The sequence below is a fragment of the Homo sapiens genome, chromosome 1 (genome assembly GCF_000001405.40).
Source record: "Homo sapiens chromosome 1, GRCh38.p14 Primary Assembly".
In the NCBI taxonomy this organism is placed as follows: domain Eukaryota; kingdom Metazoa; phylum Chordata; class Mammalia; order Primates; family Hominidae; genus Homo; species Homo sapiens.
Genome location: NC_000001.11, coordinates 147,172,512 through 147,193,169, shown reverse-complemented (window position 1 = coordinate 147,193,169; position 20,658 = coordinate 147,172,512). Strand labels below are relative to the sequence as shown.

The 20,658-nt window shown below is 39.7% G+C and overlaps 2 protein-coding genes and 1 pseudogene across 13 annotated transcripts in view, besides 1 other annotated feature; 1 reads left to right on the top strand and 2 right to left on the bottom strand.

Moving 5' to 3' along the window:
- FMO5 (flavin containing dimethylaniline monoxygenase 5) overlaps positions 1-8,865 on the top strand; it is a 42,980-nt gene extending 34,115 nt beyond the window's left edge. For 10 of the 11 annotated variants that reach the window (XM_005272947.6, XM_017000802.3, XM_005272948.6 and 7 more), the window contains 2 exons: positions 2,921-2,993; positions 5,925-6,909. In XM_005272947.6, the coding sequence (XP_005273004.1) occupies positions 2,921-2,993; positions 5,925-6,270 (419 nt within the window). In that variant the 3' untranslated portion in view covers positions 6,271-6,909. Of the gene's footprint in view, positions 1-2,920; positions 2,994-5,924; positions 6,910-8,539 lie in introns of those variants that run through there. The other variant, NM_001144829.3, reaches the window with a different exon arrangement.
- CHD1L (chromodomain helicase DNA binding protein 1 like) overlaps positions 1-20,423 on the bottom strand; it is a 123,016-nt gene extending 102,593 nt beyond the window's left edge. The window contains exons 1-2 of the mRNA NM_001348451.2: positions 19,611-20,423; positions 18,585-18,746 (exon numbers count right to left, since the gene is read on the bottom strand). The gene's annotated coding sequence lies outside the window, so the exon portion shown is untranslated. The remainder of the gene's footprint in view (positions 1-18,584; positions 18,747-19,610) is intronic.
- Positions 13,221-15,319, bottom strand: PDIA3P1 (protein disulfide isomerase family A member 3 pseudogene 1; annotated as a pseudogene). The gene is given in 1 exon segment (NR_002305.1): positions 13,221-15,319. The product of NR_002305.1 is annotated as a protein disulfide isomerase family A member 3 pseudogene 1 (transcript).
- Positions 20,371-20,600: a silencer, noted in NCBI's record as "silent region_1278". NCBI's record gives its function as "represses an Ori minimal core promoter by ATAC-STARR-seq in GM12878 lymphoblastoid cells {active_cell/tissue: GM12878}" and the evidence as "EXISTENCE:reporter gene assay evidence [ECO:0000049][PMID:35858748]".

Sequence of the window (20,658 nt, the reverse complement as noted above, 5' to 3'; positions counted from 1 at the left end):
AATCAATAGCTTACCAACCAAAAAGAGTCCAGGACCAGATGGATTCACAGCCGAATTCTACCAGAGGTACAAAGAGGAGCTGGTACCATTCCTTCTGAAACTATTCCAATCAATAGAAAAAGAAGGAATCTTCCCTAACTCATTTTATGAGGCCAGCATCATCCTGATACCAAAGCCTGGCAGAGACACAACAAAAAAGAATTTTAGACCAATATCCTTGATGAACATTGATGCAAAAATCCTCAATAAAATACTGGCAAACTGAATCCAGCAGCTCATCAAAAAGCTTATCTGCCATGATCAAGTGGGCTTCATCCCTGGGATGCAAGGCTGGTTCAACATACACAAATCAATAAATGTAATCCAGCATATAAACAGAACCAATGACAAAAACCACATGATTATCTCAATAGATGCAGAAAAGGCCTTTGACAGAATTCAACAACACTTCATGCTAAAAACTCTCAATAAATTAGGTATCGATGGGATGTATCTGAAAATAATAAGAGCTACCTATGACAAACCCACAGCCAATATCATACTGAATGGGCAAAAACTGGAAGCATTCCCTTTGAAAACTGGCACAAGATAGGGATGCCCTCTCTCACCACTCCTATTCAACAGAGTGTTGGATATTCTGGCCAGGGCAATTAGGCAGGAGAAGGAAATAAAGGGTATTCGATTAGGAAAAGAGGAAGTCAAATTGTCCCTGTTTGCAGACGACATGATTGTATATCTAGAAAACCCCATTGTCTCAGCCCAAAATCTCCTTAAGCTGATGAGCAACTTCAGCAAAGTCTCAGGATACAAAATCAATGTACAAAAATCACAAGCAGTCTTATACACCAACAACAGACAAACAGAGAGCCAAATCATGAGTGAACTCCCATTCACAATTGCTTCAAAGAGAATAAAATACCTAGGAATCCAACTTACAAGGGATGTGAAGGACCTCTTCAAGGAGAAATACAAACCACTGCTCAATGAAATAAAAGAGGATACAAAGAAATGGAAGAACATTCCATGCTCATGGGTAGGAAGAATCAATATCGTGAAAATGGCCATACTGCCCAAGGTAATTTATAGATTAAATGCCATCCGCATCAAGTGACCAATGACTTTCTTCACAGAATTGGAAAAAACTATTTTAAAGTTCATATGGAACCAAAAAAGAGCCCGCATCACCAAGTCAATCCTAAGCCAAAAGAACAAAGCTGGAGGCATCACGCTACCTGACTTCAAACTATACTACAAGGCTACAGTAACCAAAACAGCATGGTACTGGTACCAAAAGGGAGATATAGATCAATGGAACAGGACAGAGCCCTCAGAAATAATGCCGCATGTCTACAACCATCTGATCTTTGACAAACCTGACAAAAACAAGAAATGGGGAAAGGATTCCCTATTTAATAAATGGTGCTGGGAAAACTGGCTAGCCATATGTAGAAAGCTGAAACTGGATCCCTTCCTTACACCTTATACAAAAATCAATTCAAGATGGACTAAAGAAACTACCATCAGAGTGAACAGGCAACCAAGAAAATGGGAAAAAATTTTCACAACCTACTCATCTGACAAAGGGCTAATATCCAGAATCTACAATGAACTCAAACAAGTTTATAAGAAAAAAACAAACAACCCCATCAAAAAGTGGGCAAAGGATATGAACAGACACTTCTCAAAAGAAGACATTTATGCAGCCAAAAAATACATGAAAAAATTCTCATCATCGCTGGCCATCAGAGAAATGCAAATCAAAACCACAATGGGATACCATCTCACACCAGTTAGAATGGCGATCATTAAAAAGTCAGGAAACAACAGGTGCTGGAGAGGATGTGGAGAAATAGGAACACTTTTACACTGTTGGTGGGACTGTAAACTAGTTCAACCATTGTGGAAGTCACTGTGGCGATTCCTCAGGAATCTAGAACTGGAAGTACCATTTGACCCAACCATCCCATTACTGGGTATATACCCAAAGGATTATAAATCATGCTGCTATAAAGACACATGCACACGTATGTTTATTGCGGCACTATTCACAATAGCAAAGTCTTGGAACCAAGCCAAATGTCCAACAACGATAGACTGGATTAAGAAAATGTGGCACATATACACCATGGAATATTATGCAGCCATAAAAAATGAAGAGTTCATGTCCTTTGTAGGGACATGGATTAAACTGGAAACCATCATTCTCAGCAAACTATCACAAGGAGAAAAAACCAAACACCGCATGTTCTCACTCATAGGTGGGAATTGAACAATCAGAACAGATGGACACAGGAAGGGGAACATCACACTCCAGGGACTGTTGTGGGGTGGGGGTAGTGGGGAGGGATAGCATTACGAGATATACCTAATGCTAAATGACGAGTTAATGGGTGCTGCACACCAGCATGGCACATGTATACGTATGTAACAAACCTGCACATTGTGCACATGTACCCTAAAACTTAAGGTATAATAATAAAAACAAAAAATTTATTTTTACTTCATTCTCTTTCTGTTGATATAAGGTCCCTTTGTTATCAAGAATACAGGTGCAGCTGTGTTTTCCCACTCCCCTGCCCTTTAACTTTGTAACTAATTTTCCATATACCTTTAAGTCCATTTTCTCATGTCCATATTTCATTTCCCAACTGAAAGACTACATTAGGGAGGAGGCAGGTATTGGTTGGAAGTCAGAGTAGGGGAAATCCCTTCCAAAGACAAAGAAGAATAAGTAGAGTAAGCTGCAGATGTTAATATTATATTGTGGTGGTGGTAAGGTGATCAAGTGAATTGTAACCTCCTTGAGTACAGGAAACTTACCCTGTATTTCTTTGAATTCTCCATAGCATAGTAATTGTTTATAGGATTATTGTTCCTTCTGAGGTAATTTTACAGTTAAAATGTTAATTTTTGTTTTTAGGTCTAAAGACATTGCCCTCACAGAGTGAAATGATGGCAGAAATATCTAAAGCTCAAGAGGAAATTGACAAAAGGTAAGAAACTCTCCCAGGAAGATATATGGTTACATTTCTACTTATTTCTTAATAAAAGAAATATTGTACTGTATTTAACTGCCTCATGTTAGCTTAAGGATTTAGATTCTATTATGAAGAAAAAAGGAAAAATAATTTGTGACAATAGAATGGAGAAATAGCACTAGTAGTCTAAATATGGGTAAGAAAAGAGAGAAAAGTTTTAGGTGTCTAAAATCATATGTTTAATGCCTAAAAAAAGTCACATAGGAAAATGCATATGGAAATAAAATCAGAAGGCAGAAGGTATATTATTTTTGTGAGGATTACTTGAAGTGCTAGTAGACTTGCCAGAGGAAGGAAGAGTGACAGTAAATGAATGAGAGGTAGCTATGGGTGAATTACAAATCTGTAGGTAGATTTACAAGTCTGCAGTGGCCGCTTTGCTGGCAATGCTCATGTGACAGCACACTCAAGTCACAGTGGCTCATGGTATGAATAGTCACTGTGAGTTGGGAACATGGTAACAGCCAGCTGCTTAGTGTTTTGATGAACACAATCATTTAGCAGTCTGAATTTCAGAACTTAAGCTCAATCGCTGGGTGTTTTTTATTTGGACAAAGTGGAAATTGATGGTAAGTCTCTAAATTTCTGTGGAAAACTGAGAGACACAATCATTCCAGGCCTAAAGAGGTGGTTATCTTCAACTGATGATACTTGCATAACTTTCCTTTGTGTGGGAGGAGGAGAAAGTAAGTTTTTATTTAATTCCGTTACAACTTCCAGGTGCTCTCCTATTTTCCTCCTTCCTTTCACTGCCAAACCTCTGCACTAAATTTTCTAAATTCTCACCTTTTGCTGCCTCCCTAAGCCTTCTGCATTGTTAACTTCCATCCTTACTCCTTAAACTGCCTTTTTTTTTTTTTAGACGGAGTCTCACTCTGTCACTCAGGCTGGAGTAAGTGGCACGATCTTCGCTCACTGCAACCTCTGCCTCCTGGGTTCAAGCGATTCTCCTGCCTCAGCCTCCTGAGTAGCTAGGACTACAGGTGCACACCACCAAACCCAGCTCATTTTTGTATTTTTAGTAGAGATGGGATTTCTCCATGTTGGCCAGGCTGGTCTCAAACTCCTGACCTTGTGATCTGCCCGCCTCAGCCTCCCAAAGTGCTGGGATTACAGGCATGAGCCACCGTACCTGGCCGGAAACTGCTCTCTTAAAGGTCACCTGTGACCAACTTCATTTTCCTTCTTCTCACTACTGAGTTTGGTGCTTTTAAACATTTCTTCCTTCTTGCAGTGCTTTCTTTTCTGGCTCTAAAGTATCTTATTTTAACTTTCCTCCTCTCTTTCCTTTGACTTATTTTTGTCTAACCACCTCCTGAACCTGAGTAGTCAGTAACCCAAGGATATAATGTAACCTTTTTTTTTTTTAACTTCTGAAATAGTAAATATTTATTTATTTATTTATTTTATATTTAAGTTCTAGGGTACATGTGTACAACGTGCAGGTTTTTTACATATGTATACATGTAACCTTTATTAAAGGCCGACTATGTGTATACATTGTTTTATATGAGTTTATTTAATCTGCATAATCAAGGCAGGAGCTAGTGAACCTCTTTTGTGAAACCTTCATGAATACTATAGCTCTTTTTTTTTTTTTTTTTTTTTTGATATGGGGTCTCACTCTGTTACCCAGGCTGGAGTGAAGTGGTGTGATCTTGGCTCACTGCAACCTCCACTTCCTGGAGTCAAGCAATTCTCCCGCCTCAGCCTCCTGAGTAGCTGGGACTACAGGCATACTAACAACGCCCAGCTAATTTTTGTGTTTTCTGTAGAGATGGGGTTTCGCCATGTTGCCCAGGCTGATCTCGAACTCCTGAGCTCAAAGTGATCCGCCTGCCTCGGCCTCCCAAAGTGCTAGGATTACAGGCATGAAACACCACGCCCAACCTCATGAATAGTATAGATCTTGACCTACTATTATAGGATAAATAAATGCATGTCTACAAACTCTTGAGCCAACATATTGTTCATAAGGGAAAGCTCTCAAATTCTTTACTGTTTTACCTTTTTCTCTCCTAAATCTAGTCCCATTTCAATAAATTCCTACTTGACCCTCTATCAGGTCCTCTGAAATTCCATCTCACCAGTTCTACCTCAAATTTATTTTCTATCATTTTTTTCCTGTCCCTGTTCTTGGATTCTTCAATCTCAATTGGCTTGACTTGGCTTTTCTCTTCCTCTCTGTCCTACAGTTCTTTCTTTTCATTACAGAAAGTAAAAAGTGAAAGTCACTCATTAGCTCACCAAATCCCACTCCACCACACAGATATCACTGTTAATCAACCACATTTTCCCCTTTAAAAAGCCCTTTTAAATCTTTAAATCTGCACTTGGTGTAATAATTTCATTTGTCTCCATTTGGAGGGCTACTTCCTCTTGTGGAATAAATCATTCTCCCTCATCCTTTCAGGATTCCAAATTAACATTGGCCCTGGGAAGTCCTGCCCTGTGGACCCTGTCACCACTGCCCTCATCAAATAATAGAGGATGCCATACTTGAGAATTTTTGTGATGGGTTTTCTCTTTCTCATAACATCAGAGTCCTTTGTATCTAGATGTGCTATACCTGCCCCTCATCTTATCTGTATCTTTCACATCCTTCAAGAACCTAACGATTACAGCTCTCTTTTAACTATCCCCTCTCCACATTTCTATTTGGCAGTCTGAAACCACTCAGAAGTCTCGCTTCATGTTTATCTGTCTTATCTCCTTTTGTAAGTCCTAAGATCCTTAAGGACAGTGACCAATGTTTTATCTTTCTTCTCTATATTCCACAGCTCCTAGTCTGATATTGAGCCAATAGCAGGCACTCAGAAGGCAGTAATTGATTGACTGACTGATTGAATTATTGACAGGCCATGGTTTCTGTCTTTTCTACTTTAGGTATGTGGAGAGCCAACGCCATACCATTCAGGGAGACTACATAGATACCATGGAAGAGCTTGCTGATTTGGTGGGGGTCAGGCCCAATCTGCTGTCTCTGGCCTTCACTGACCCCAAGCTGGCATTACACTTATTACTGGGACCCTGCACTCCAATCCACTATCGTGTACAGGGCCCTGGAAAGTGGGATGGGGCTCGAAAAGCTATCCTCACCACAGATGATCGCATCAGGAAGCCTCTGATGACAAGAGTAGTTGAAAGGAGTAGTTCTATGACTTCAACAATGACAATAGGCAAGTTTATGCTAGCTCTTGCCTTCTTTGCTATAATTATAGCTTACTTCTAGTTGTCCTATTGTCACTGCCCTGTTTTTCATTGGGAAGCTTATCTACAGATGCCTTCAGAATCTGACGAGATTGACTCTCAGTTTCATATTGCCCAGAAATCTACTTTAATGTCTCTTTCGAAAGCATTAATTCACTTTCCTTTTTCCTACAATGAAACCTGTTTTCCATTTGTATTAACTCATCTCCCTTCCACTCATGATCCGTCACTCTTCCTTGTGGTAATCCCTAGACTGGGAGCTCAGGTACTCTTTTAGTCATCTTTGTATGTCTTTAGCAGAGTTCTTGACATGTGGTAGGTGCTTAATAAATGTTTGTTGTTTATCAAATTTTATGGTAGGGAGAGTAAGTCAGCATCGGTATAAAATCGCTTACTCCACGTAACTCTTCTTCTGATAGGGTTTGATTTTCTATTAGAAGCTCAATTTTAGTTTTTTTTCATATTATAACTAAATATGTTTCCTGAGAGATAAGAGAAATAATGTTCCTACAATAGTTGTATGTATCTAAGATAAGACATATAGATGCTTAAGACATTTTGTTTCACTTGCTATTCACTAGTGTACTTGAAACATGGTCATTTTTAGCCCTTTTCCTTAGGAACCATGTCTTTATTTTCTCAATAAAGAAATTACTTTCAACTTTCTAGGCTCACAGTCATTCAGATCATCTACCATCTGCCAATGAGATCAACTTGGTTGAGAATTTTGGGATTTTAAATTAGCTGTCCTACCTTTTTAAATCTCTTTTAAATCCTTCCCATATTAGGATCCAACAAAACTTTATCTTAGGAAATATGATAAGTAGCTTCCAATTGTTGTAGTGTGGTCTACAAATGTGATTTGATTCATCTTCCCCCACTCTAATTTTCTCCCCTTTTCTCCTCCCTTACATGGAGTCTAAGTAAGTATTTGAACAAGTCATTTATGTATTAAATTAGAACTGATATTAACTAAATGTAGGAACATTCTGCTTATACCAGTTTTTCTCATGTCGTAAAGTGTAGTTCTGAAAAACAGAGCAAATGAAATGCAAAGCAGGTACTTGGGTTTACATCCCAGTGCCACTGATGATTCTGTTTTCTCATCTGTGGAAGTTTCACTGTTCTTGTTTCATGGAGAAATTAACTAAGTGTCAGCTGTCAGGCACACTGAACTCAGGTGATGTTCATTAATAGCTGTTGTACAATATGTTTGTATTTGGATTGCTGCTTATTACTTAACAACAGGATAAACCTGAACAATGGAAAAGACCAACATTAGAGAGTATTATCTTTCCAAATACACACACCTGTAAGAGAACTGGAAATGTGAGAACTACAACTTCTTCTTATTTAAACATTTGAACAATTGCCGGCCCTTTCACCGAATTTACCTGTGGAATGCCTTTTGAGAGTTAGAGAACTGAGAACTGGTATTACTTTTCAGGTCTTTTGCTTTCCCTAATCCTTGTGATACTGGAGATTTATCATCTATTAAAATGGACCTAGTATTTTTAAATCTGCATATCAAAAGCAAATTGAATGTCTCTTGCTTCCTTTTAATTTCTTTTAACATATAAATTTCTCTTTTAGCATGTAAATTTGTTGAATTAACAGCCCTTTGATAATATAATTCCTAGTTATCAGCAATAAGTACACCAGTTTCTTTTTTAAATTAGGAGTATGTAATTCTAAATTAATTGATTCTCTCATTGTACATATTATATGCAAGGTTACAAAAAAAAATCAATGGTTAATGATTTTTTAGCTCAACCAAGCTAAAAGATGTGAACAAGAAATTGAACTCAAAACAACTTAAGATACAAAGCTCTTGTTACTGATAATGTCTAATAATATTCATCAATTTACCATATCTTGTTCTTATATTAAAATGTTCTATCATTTTCCTAATTATTTTAAAGTCGATTACAAAAATATATATATATTCTTGTAGTGCCAGAAAATTGAATACATTAATAAATGGGGTAGAATAGATGAATCTCCCATGAAGAAGAATTCCAAATAATTTATGAACTCTGCCCTCAAGGATATGGAGCAGAACTTCCTACTTCTCTAGTGTGAGCTGAATAGTGACTTCCTTCCAAAAATTACATATGGAAAGGGGGAAAATAACTTTGTAGTGGAGAAATCTGATAAACACTATCTCGGCTAGGTTATCAAGATTAACACTAACAGTAATAAGTCACACTGATAGTATGTACCTTTGAGATGAAGTGATGAGAAGGCCACTTTACCTCTCTGTTGTATTCCTCTCAAAAACCATAATGCAGTCTAACCATGAGAAAAACATCAGACAAACCCAAGTTGAAGAATATTCTACAAATACCTGACTACCTCAAAACTGTCAAGATCATCAACAAAGAAAGTCTGAGAAATTGTCCCGGAATAAAGGGGCCTAAGGAGACATAACATCTAAATGTAATGTAGTATCCTGGATGGACTCCTGCAACAGAAAAAGAACTTTAAGTAAAAATTAAGGGAATATTAATAAAGTATGCATTTTGGTTAATAATGTATCAATATTGGTTTATTAGTTGTGACAAATGTACCAGAGGAATGTAAAATGTCAACAATAAAGGAAATTGGATGTGGGGTACATGAGAATGCTGTACTATTTTTGCAACTTTTCTTAAATCTAAAACTCTTATAAAATTTAAAAATAAAAAGAAATGTGGAGTTATTATTATTATTTTTTGGCTCAGGATTTGACCCAGAGCTATGGTCTGGCAGAATTTTCTCAGAGGAGGAATACTGGCTAGTACAAGTCATTCAAATTACTGTGTTTTTCTATGATTTCTCCACAAATTAAGTTGCTTTAATAATGCATAATGTAACTTAATTCAGCAGTTTTGCTTCCTTTGCTGAGTAAGTATAGACTATAATTATAGAGAATGTAAAATGGTGATATAAAGTCAAAATACACAACTTCTTAAAATCACTTAGATATGTTCTTTATTGAAGCTGTGCACATTAACCCAGCAGACCCCACTAGCAAATTTATGATATGTTGATGTCATGTACATTCATAAATAAGATTATTTTACTTAATACTGGGCCTGTTACTTTTGTTAGGAGTAATACAGCATTTAAACAACCTCCAGATTGCCTAATGGAATTTCTAAGAGTGCCAAGTTTTTCCATGCTTTTATACACATTCTTGTGCTGTACTTTCCTCTTGATAAATTCTCCACTGGCCCAGCTGGCTAACACCTATACCATCGTCCAGATTCAGGTCATCTGTTTTCTCTTCAGGGAATATCTTCCTGACCCTCAGTATCAAATAGGTCACCTTCCTCTGTGCTCTCATTACAACTAGTGTTCTTCTCAATTACATTTTATGAATAGCCTTATCATAATATATAACAATATTTGGTTCTCTCACCTGTTTCCTCCTTGAACTAGTAAACTCCTCGAAGGAATACATTTTGTACTTAATCTGTGTGTTCCTAGTGCCTAATGTAGTGGCTGAAACATAGTAAGACCTCAGTAAGTTAAGAATTAATTAATTAAATGAATACATTCAATATGGGAGGTAAATAGATGACTTTTAAAGGATTAAATCAAACAGTGAATAATTCTTTTAGAAAAAGTGACAAAGGAGATTAAAGGGTGATTAACATTTTGAAATGTCTGCAGGACAAGCATGTTCTTCCAAAAACTGTTCTGAGTCATTGATCTGAATCAGTATGTTATCTTTTTTTTTGAGACAGAGTCTCGCTCTGTCGCCCAGGCTGGAGTGCAGTGACGCCATCTCGGCTCACTGCAAGCTCTGCTTCCCGGCTTCACGCCATTCTCCTGCCTCAGCATCCCATGTAGCTGGGACTACAGGTGTCCGCCACCACGCCTGGCTAATCTTTGTATTTTTAGTAGAGACGGGGTTTTATCGTGTTAGCCAGGATGGTCTCGATCTCCTGACCTCATGATCCACCCACCTCGGCCTCCCAAAGTGCTGGGATTACAGGTGTGAGCCACCACGCCCGGCCTGGTATGTTATCTTTAATGTTTAGTTGTGGTTTAAAACACAAGTGATATGTCCTCGTCTATAATTCATTTCCTCAATCAAACATAAGACATAACAAGCCAAGATCTTGGTACAAGAAAGAAGGTAGGGTATATATATGTCATCCTTGACCCTCATTTCACTGCTGTTCTGCCTTGCTTTCCCAAATTCCCCAGCTCCTTTGACGCACCCATAACTTCTGATTGAAATTATTAGCAGAATTGTTGACTCCCCTTCATTCAGTAAAGATTTTAGCACCAAGCTCTCTGCCTCGCTATAATATAAAACTACTCCTGTAGTTGGTTTTAACACTGATGTAGGTAATACTTTCACCAATCCAATGTCTTAGTCAGGATTAGCTTCAGCTACATTTAACAGAAAAACCTCAAATAACAATGACTTAAATAAGATTTAAGTTTATTTTCCTCTTATATTAAAAAAGTCTGGAAGTAGATAGTCCTGAGATGATATAACAGTTCTTCAGCTTCTCTTTTTGCTCCACTATCTTCAGCATGTGGACCTTATACTTCATGGTCCAAGATGGCCCACTGTAGCTATAGCCATTATATGGACATTCTACACAGAAGGAAGGAGAAATGTAACAATGGCACACCCCTTTTCTTTTAAGGAGACTTTACAAAAGTTCCACATAACATTTTCACTTAGTCTTATTGGAAGAACTTAGTTACTTATCTAGCTACTAGGGAGACTACAAAATGTGTCTTTATACAGAGAGGCAATACCTCAGGAAAAAAATCAAGGTTCTGTTATTAAGAAGGAAGAGAGAATGAATGTTGAGGTAGATCTCTAACACTCTGCTATCTGGCCTTTTAGTTATGTGATCTTCTTACTCCAGTGATTTTATAATCTGCCTCATCTCAACTACCTATACCCACATGGACATATCTAAGACATTGTCATGAATAACCGCAACACCACTAAAGTCTCAATTTCAAGCATCCCACTCTCTAAAACTCTCTCCTACCTTTTCAGTTCATTCACTCTGGTACTCCAACTCCAGCAGTTCTTTGACTCCACTGGGCTGCCCATCAACCTGCTGTCTTCATTTCCCAGCCCACCTCATTTAAAATGCATGGCCCAACATTATAATCACACCCTACCACGCACTCTCAATTACTTTGTTGCTCTCCTCCATACTTGCTTAGCTAAACTTCATTTTGGTTATCTGCCTGCATCAAAACAGCTAAACATGACAAGAGAAAAATACTAGTATGGTGACTTGCCTTTTCTGAAATTCATAACCACTGAACATAGGTAGACCTTCAGTGCTACTGCCAATCATACTTCATTTTTCTAGACAATTCTCTGTCCCACCTTTCTAGTTGATTACTGCATATAACCTATCTCCGCAAACCTCAAATATGTTGTCTCCTTTCCTCACAGTCAGCTAATCATCTTCTCTTTTTTTCCTCTAAGAAAATGGAAACAATCGAAAGACTTTCACATATCTTCACTCTGTGATGAGGTTTTTAGTTGGGGCTAGTCACATAGGCACCCTCTGCTTAGCACATATCAGAATTCCAGACTCCCAGAAGAAAAGCAAGTGTTCAGCATAAATCACATTGTTTGTACAAACAGTTTTAAAAAAGTGAGCCACTCTTATCAGTTAAGGTGGTAAGAAACCTCCCAAAATCCAAGTTCCCAAATCCCACCCATGGGCCAAACTTGCAAGCTAAAGCAGTCACAAGCATGGAGTTGTGCTCTAATTCCTTGAGGGGGCAATAGCTACATAAATTATTTGGAATTCTGTATGAGAGACTTGTTCCCACACATCCTAGTTGATTTTAATTGTTTATTTTTTAGGTATGGCGAAGCATTATTACGGTTCTAAGAGTCAGCAAACTCCTTTCTGCACAATGCCGTTTACTGGGGATCTTGAATACTCGTCTCTAGACCCTTGTCTAGGCCGCGTTTCTCAAAATGTGGCCCTTGAGGCAGAAACATCAGCCTTGTACTTGACACAAGTCCTCAGGCCCCACTCCAGACTTACAGAATCAGAAACTCTGGGTACACAGACCAGCAATCTGCATATTTGACCCTCTAGATAATTTTGATGTATGGTAAAGTTTGATTTAGTCAAAAGGAGAGGTGGACCTGTATCTGTTCTGTCAGGCCGCTCACTGATCCTTAGGCCTTTATTGTACTCTATTATCTGCTAGTACCAATAGCTTCTGACTTGTGAAAATTGGGTGGGTAGGGGTGAGAAATGGCATGGAGCTGGGGTGTGTTCAAACTGGCATCTTCCTTTCTCTGAGAATTTTAAATAAACTTATTTTAAGGCTCTTTTCAGGCCGGACGCAGTGGCTCATGCCTGTAGTCCCAGCACTCTGGGAGGCCAAGGCGGGTGGATCACGAGGTCAAGAGATCGAAACCATCCTGGCCGGAATGGCGAAACCCCATCTCTACTAAAAAGTACAAAGATTGACTAGGCGTGGTGGCACACACCTGTGGTCCCAGCTACTCAGGAGGCTGAGGCAGGAGAATTGCTTGAACCTGGGAGGTGGAAGTTGCAGTGAGCTGAGATCGCGCCAATGAACTCCAGCCTGGCAACAGAGCAAGACTCTGTCTCAAAAAAAAACACAAAAACCAAACAAACAAAAAAAGTTCTTTTCAGAGTCTTTTTTCTCTATTTCCCTGGGTGCAAATTCTCTCATTTGAAGAATCTTCTGACTATACAACATGACACTGGACTTCCTCATGTACTTTATTATTTTTATTACTTTAGTTATTTTTAAGACTATTTATTTAGAAATGATTGCAGTCCTCCACAAAAGTTACAAAAATAGTAGAGTTCTTATATATTCTTTCCCAGGCTCCCTAAAGAGAATATTTCACACAACATTATGACAATTATCAAAATAAGAAAATGAACACTGATATTATACGATTAAGTAAACCATGGACCGCATTCCTATTTTTTTTTTTTTTACAGTTTAAAGGGGTCTTATTTATTGTCACTGTTCCAAATGCACAAAAAAATTAGAAAATACCCCCAACTCAACCCGACTCCCACAACATTTCCCCCAACACCAATAATTTTTCCCAAAACCACAAACATAAACTGGTCCTGGTATTTCCATAACAGTGCAGCTAAGAAATGGCTTAGAGAAAATTTAACAGGATTCAGATTATATCCATTCTGTCCTCTCGGCCCTGAGACGTAATAATTCCCATATGGGTCCTAGTCCTCCCCAGTGGTTTTCCCATCTCTGGTGGAAGAGTCCTTTTACAAAGTGGTGTTTGCCTACTGCTTTAGAGATCCTCCTGTGCCTTCTTCTTCTTGGGTTTTTCTTCTTGAATTACAGGGGGGTTTGTAGCTTCTCGTTGTAGATAGCTAATAAAATCACTTAATTCATGGCCACCTTCATATTTCTTTGGATTTAGCTTCTTGTTGGCTGGAGAGAAGTATATGGTAGGAAAACTCTGACTTCATATGGAGAAGGCACATCATTGGCTGTGGCATCCATCTTGGCTATGACGATATTCAGGTCTTTGCTGAGCTTCTCGCCAAGTTCTTTATACTTGGGCTCCAGGTTCTTACAGTGACCACACCAAGGGGCATAAAATTCAATCAGCACATCTTTATTTTCATTATTCACTATTTCATCAAAATTCTCTGCTACCACTACCTTCACAGGCCCATCATTGCTCTCTGGGATAGGTTCAGACTTCAGGTATCTCTTCAGATTGCCATCAAAGTAATCCTGCAGGAACCTCTCCAGAGCATTCCCATCACGCGAGAAATCCTCCTGCATGACAAACTTCTCTCCTTTAGCAGTTCTGATAGCAACAACAGGAATCTCTCCAGCAGTGCTCTCCAAGCCAAAATCAGAAAGTTCATGGCTAAAGGTTTTGCGGCTAGCTACAGCAAAGTTGAGTTTGTGCCCAGCATCCAGGAATTTCTTTGCCACCATCATTACCCTGTTTCTCCAGTAGTTGGAACCTTTAGCATTCTTTTCATAGTCCACATCATAGTAAGCAATAAGTAAGTCCTTGCCCTGTATCAAATCTTTATTGTCTTCTGTCATGTGAGGGCAGATACCAAAAATGTTTTCCTGGATAAACTTTTTAATTTTGCCACTGGTCATTTTTTGCACTGTATATGCCACAGTCTTGTCCTCCAACTTGTTAGTGAGATGTGAAGGACGAAATAAGATGATACCATCTCCGTTATCATCATACTCGTTCACCAGAGACTCAACATTCGTATGTGCAAATCGGTAGTTATCCCTCAAGTTGCTGGCTGCTTTTAGGAACTCGGAGTGAGCTTCACTGAATGAATCATCGAAAAAACCTACTATAGAGGCATCTTTATCACTAATGAATTTCTTAAATTCTTCCTCAGTCCTGAGAGGCACTGAAGCTGGGCCTGCCTGCTTCTTCAGGTGGCTGACAATTCCATCAGCAGTCCTAGGTCCATCATAAGCACCTGCTTCTTCACCATCTCTAAACATATTCAGGGTTGGATATCCACTGACTCCATATTTATTACAGGTGTTAGTGTTGGCAGTGCAATCAGCCTTTGCTAATGGGACTATTCCTTTTAATCTGGTAGCTGCAGCTTCATACTCAGGAGCAAGTCTCTTGCAGTGTCCACACCAGGGGGCGAAGAACTCGACGAGCATGAGGCCCGCAGAGCCCGTGTCGGAGATGCGACTCTCCAAGTTGTCGTCCCTGAGTCCTAGCACGTCGGAGGCAGCCGCGAGGCGGGCCGCGGCGAGAAGCAGCGCCACGCCCGGGAACAGCGCTGGGCGGCGGAGGCACATGGCGGCGAGGTGGGGTGGGGGCAGCCGGAAGGGTCGCGGCTCGACTGGGACTGCGGCGGTCGGGCGCGCGACCACCTATTTTACCACTTTTCTACTAATTTAGTTTTTGTGTTCCAGGATCAGATTCAGGGTCCCATTTTGCATTTAGTTGTTAAGTCTCCTTAGTGTCCTCTAATCGTTGTCAGTTCTTCAGTCTTTTGTTGTCATTCAGGACTTAGGCACTTAAAAAAAAAGAAGTTTCATACTCAAGTTTGATTTAGTTTAACCTAATGTTCTTTTTCTGTCCTGGGATCCCATCCAGGATATCACATTACATTTAGTCATCACCAGGCTCTTCTAGACTGTGACAGTTTCTTATACTTTCCTTGTTTTTGGTGGCCTTGATAGTTCTGAAGAGTACTGGTTATTTTGTACTTAATTTGAGATTGTCTGATATTTCTTCATGATTAGGCTGGGGCAATGAGTTTCGGGGAGGAAACAGATCAAAGATCAAATGCTATTCTCATCATATCATATCAAGGTTACATGCCACTAATGACATACTAGAGATGTTAGCCTTGATCAGCTGGTTGAGGTAGTGTTCTTCCTCCTTTCCATACTGCGCTCTTTGAAAAACATTTACTAGGCTTGACTCATGCTTATGGGGTGGAGAATTATGTTCCATCTTCTCGAGGGTAGAGTACATAAATTTTTTGGAATTTTTCAATATGAGAATTATCTCCCAATTATTTGTTTCTTCAATCATTTACTTGTATCAGTATGAACTCATGGATCTTATTTTATAATTTGGGTTAAATCCAATGCTGAATTACTTATTTTTTGAATTATTCTAGCTTTAGCTATTGGGAGCTCTTTTAGTTGGCTCCTATGTCACTTTGATATACCATCAGTTTTTTGTGTCTTTTTAAAGCACTTGTTTATTTTCTGGCACTATAAGATGTTTCAGACTCATCTTGTATATCCCCTGCCCCAGTCCTAGAATTAGGCATTTTTCTCAAGGGCTCTGGTTCCCTTTGTTGGAGAACAGTATTAGAAACAAAAAACTGGATGCTGGGTGTGCTCCTTGCTTCTGCTTGTCATTGCTTCTAGGCCTTCGGAGGACAGAACTTGGAAATATATGTGTGTATACTAATGTATTAAACATGAATCCACATGCATTTTTAAGTATTTCTATATTTACCCATCTGTATCTATATTAAGCTAAACATTTCATATTGATGCCTCCTACCGTAACCCAGGATTTAATGATCACATGCCTACTCCTCTCATTTTACAGATGAGAAAATTTATGGCTAAAAAGATAAAAGTACTTGCCCTACATCAAATAATTTTAGAGTTGGCAGCCTATTTGTACCAAATTAATACTCACATGGTGATGATATATACATAGTAGATTCATAGTTAATGAAGATGTTGAGATACTAATTATTCCAGTAATGTATATCTATAATTTTAGAGGAAATTTGCAGTGAATATTTAGTCACAGTATCACTATACACCATATCTATTTAGAGTTGTAGTAGTTTCCTTAGAGATTTCCAGAGCATGTGCTCCTCTAGAGCAGGGGTGGCTCAGCAAAAGCTCAACAAGTATTGGGGCCCTCAATCAAGGTTTGTTGAAATAAATGGACTATACTTATCAAGAAATACTGGCTAAATATTTAACCTGCACCTCATTTATAAAATGGAATATCATGGATCATCTGTTCTGCTTACCCTCATAGGGTGGTTCTGAGGATCACATGATAGAATTTACATGCAAATCCTTTGGAATCTGAAAGGAAAAATTATGATACTATTTGGGGAAAATTCTGTACCTTTGAATTGGGTCTATCTTCCTTTAGGTGAGCAGAATCACTATTATTTCTCTGCCTGTATAAAAACTATAAAAAGATTAAAATCAATGGTATTTGTTTAAAAATAATTAGTTTACCCAATGGTTGAGTAGTCTCTTGTGTATAAACTCATATATTTTGCTAATGCTGATTTTATTAATAGTTTTTAATTTAGGCATAATTTTCATACAATAAAAATTTACTTTTTATTGTACAGTTTGGTAAGTATCAATAACTCCACTGCAGTCAAGATACAGACCTGTTCCATACCTCCCCTTCAAAATTTCTTCATGCCCTTTTGTAGTCAATCACTCCCCACCCCCCACCCCCAAGTCCTGGCAAACACTGATCTGTTTTCTGACCGTATAGTCTTCCTTTTTCCAGAATGTCACATAAGTGGAGCCTGGCTTCTTTTACTTCCCATAATGCATTTGAGATTCATCAATATTATTGTATGTATCGAGTTATTCTTTTATTACTGAGTAGTATTCCATTTATAGCTATGCTACATTTTAATTATTGATTCACCAGATGTATTAGCCTATTTTCACACTGCTATAAAGACATACCTGAGACTAGGTAATTTATAAAGAAAAGAGGTTTAATTTACTTATAGTTCTGCATGGCTGGGGAGGACTTCAGAAACTTACAGTTATGGTAGAAGGGAAGCAAGCTCATCTTATGTGGCACAGGGGAGAGACAGTGAGTGTGTGTGAATGAAGGAAGAACTGCCAAACACTTTTAAAACCATCATCTCTGGTGAGAATTCATGCACCATCACAAGAACAGCATGGGGGAAACCGCCCCCATCATCCAATCACTTCCCTCCCTTGACACGTGAAGGTTATAGGTCCTTCCTTCAACACGTGGGTATTACAATTTGAGATGAGATTTGGGTGGGGACACAGAACCAAACCATATCACCAGGTGAAGGACATTATGTTTTTTCCATTTTAGGGTTTGTGTTTTTTCTATTATATGAATAAAGACATATATGTGTTTACAGGTTTTGTGTGAACTTGTTTTTATGTCACTCGGATAAATACCCAGGAGTGGGAATTAGTATGCTGCATGATTAAGTAAATGTTTAACTTTATAAAAAAGATCAGATTGTTTTTTGAAACAGTAACCATCAAGATCAGATGTTATACCTATCCTTGGTCATAAATGGAGGATGAAACTTGGTGAGTGGAGATGGGAATATAAACCTCCAGATGCCCAATTTAACCTGTCATCCAGTTCTGTAAAATCAATCCTTCATTCTCACATCCTCACTTCTCAGAGGAAGCGAGGTCTCTTTAGCAGTGTGTGTAAAGGCTTGCATGTGAGGCTGCCCATGTTATTTTTCTGTTTATTAGGCAGAATGATTGATCTGAGGAGACCAGTGGCAATGACATCCTAGACACAGTAACATCAGGACAACCCATTACTTTTCCTATTACCTCCTTCTTTTCCTTTCCTCTAGAAAGAAAGAAGAGCATTGGGGTGACAGCAATAAATCTAAAGGGAACAATTATACTGATACTGGTTAAGAGGATCTTGTATCTTTACTTATTCCCGAATCTAAGAAAAAAAAAAGGAATTTGGGACTAAGGAGAATTCATTCTTCCTACAGTGTCACATTACATTTGTTCTGTGTCTAAAACCTGCAATATTCAAAACTGACTTTTATTATTAACTGTTGAGTGACTTACAAATGTTGTTAGAGCAGAGCAGGGCAGAACAGTGTCATGGATAATCTTCCAAAGCAGATAATTCAAAAGTCATTTCCATTTAGCTGTGCAAAAACAGTTTATTTCTCTCCGTCAGTTTTCCATTGGTTAACGTACTTTGTTTCTGCTAGGCTGATTTGACTACTGCAAGGAAATACATACCAAGGACATATTATTTGGCATGGTGAAACCACCTTGGGGTCAGAAAACTGAATACTACACAAGTCAAGGTTTAATGTATTATGTATCTTCAAGGGCCTTGCTTCAGTGTCCTATGGTAAGGAATTGAGGGGTGGAGGGAGAAAAGTAGGGATAACCAAAAAGCATGTACTCAGACATAAAGATTTTGGAGGGGTGAGCAAGAAGTTGCAGTAAAATCGTACCTTTTTTTTTTCTTCCTGTAAACTGTCTTTGGTTTATGAGCCAAAGAATGAGTTTATAAGAGGCAGAGCAAAGAATAGGGGAGTAGTGAATTTGTTGTACTTAAGTGGGATGTCAACTTCATAATATAAAAATGAACGTTTCAGCAAATAGAGCTGCTCACTCAGAAAGGGTGGCCTATGTAACTTGGGGTTCCCCATCATTGGCCGTGTTTAAGCCTAAGTGGCATATCTGGTTAGAAATGGATTACAGTAAACAGTATTCCTGTATCCTTCATTCCGCAAATGCAAAAGCCTACTCTGTATAAGGTACATGCAGAATATGAAAAGGTATCAAATCTGGATCTGCTCTCTGCCAGCTGTCAAAGCATTGCTTCTCACACACTTTAATGTGATCTTGTTAAAATGCAGATTCAGAACCCTGGGGATGGGGCCTGATTCTGCATTTCTAACAGGCTCCCAGTTGACGCCAACACTGCTGGTCTGTGTAACACAGAGTGATAAACGTTTCTAGAAGGAGACATGCAAATACTTATAATACAAAGGTAAGTACCTTAGGGATTCCACTAATTTTCATAAAAAACCTGGATCCCTCCCAACCCTAGGGCTGTCTTTGCCCTTTTTATACCTTTAGTGTTCCTTCTGATGTTTTCGTTGTTGCTATCTTCCTTGAATTTTATTTCTTCTGAGGTTTCTCACTGTGTATGCTGTTTCTTAGCCTAGGAGAGCCTTTTCGTTCTTCTCCTAAGACTAACATTTTACTAATTTGTCAAGGAGCTAGAGCTCCTAAACACGCCATCTTGAATTCTTCCCTGCGACCCCAGTCGGGCTGAAAGCTCCTTCCTTGTCGCTCCCCACTGAACAGATTTTTCTTGGGGCGGGGAGAGGGGGACGGAGTATCGCTGAGTCGCCAGGCTGGAGTGCAATGGCGCGATCTCGGCTCACCGCAACCTCCGCCTCCCGGGTTCAAGCGATTCTTCTGCCTCATCCTCCCAAGTAGCTGGGACTTCCGGCGCGCGCCACCACGCCCAGCTAATTTTTGTATTTTTAGTAGAGCCGGGGTTTCACCTTGTTGGCCAGGATGGTCTTGATCTCCTGACTTCGTGATCTGCTCGCCTCAGCCTCCCAAAGTGCTGGGAATACAGGCGTGAGCCACTGCGCCCGGTCAGAACAGTTTTAACCTCCAGCAATGACCACTGCTTCCTTCTGCCTGCAGTTGGAAGTCAGTTTCAGTTTTCTTATTCCCTATAAGGAACCCACCTCTCCGGTCGCCTAACACACAGATGCTGCCCAGAAAACGTGCTGGCGCACCTGAGGCGGGGTAGAAAGCCGTGCCGCTCCTCCCGGCACCGAGCACCGGAGCCCAGGGAGGCGGCCTCCGAGTGTCATTTGGGGACGTCCCTTCTGCCGGGTAGTCTCAGAGGCCAAGCGCTCCTATTATCCCGGGCGCAGTCTCCCCAGGCGGGACAGGCCCTGCCTGGCGCCCCCTCCTGGCGCTGGAGGCTGCGTGCGACTGCCCACCATCGAGGCGGCGGCGGCGGCGGCTAGAGAGGCCGGCGGGTCCCGGGCGCCGAGGCTGCAGGCCGCAGGGAACGCGCACTGGGCGGACTCCGCGCCGCCGGCCTTGTAGCCATTTTAGGAGGAATCGCTGGTCGCCAGCGAGGGGTGCGGCTTCA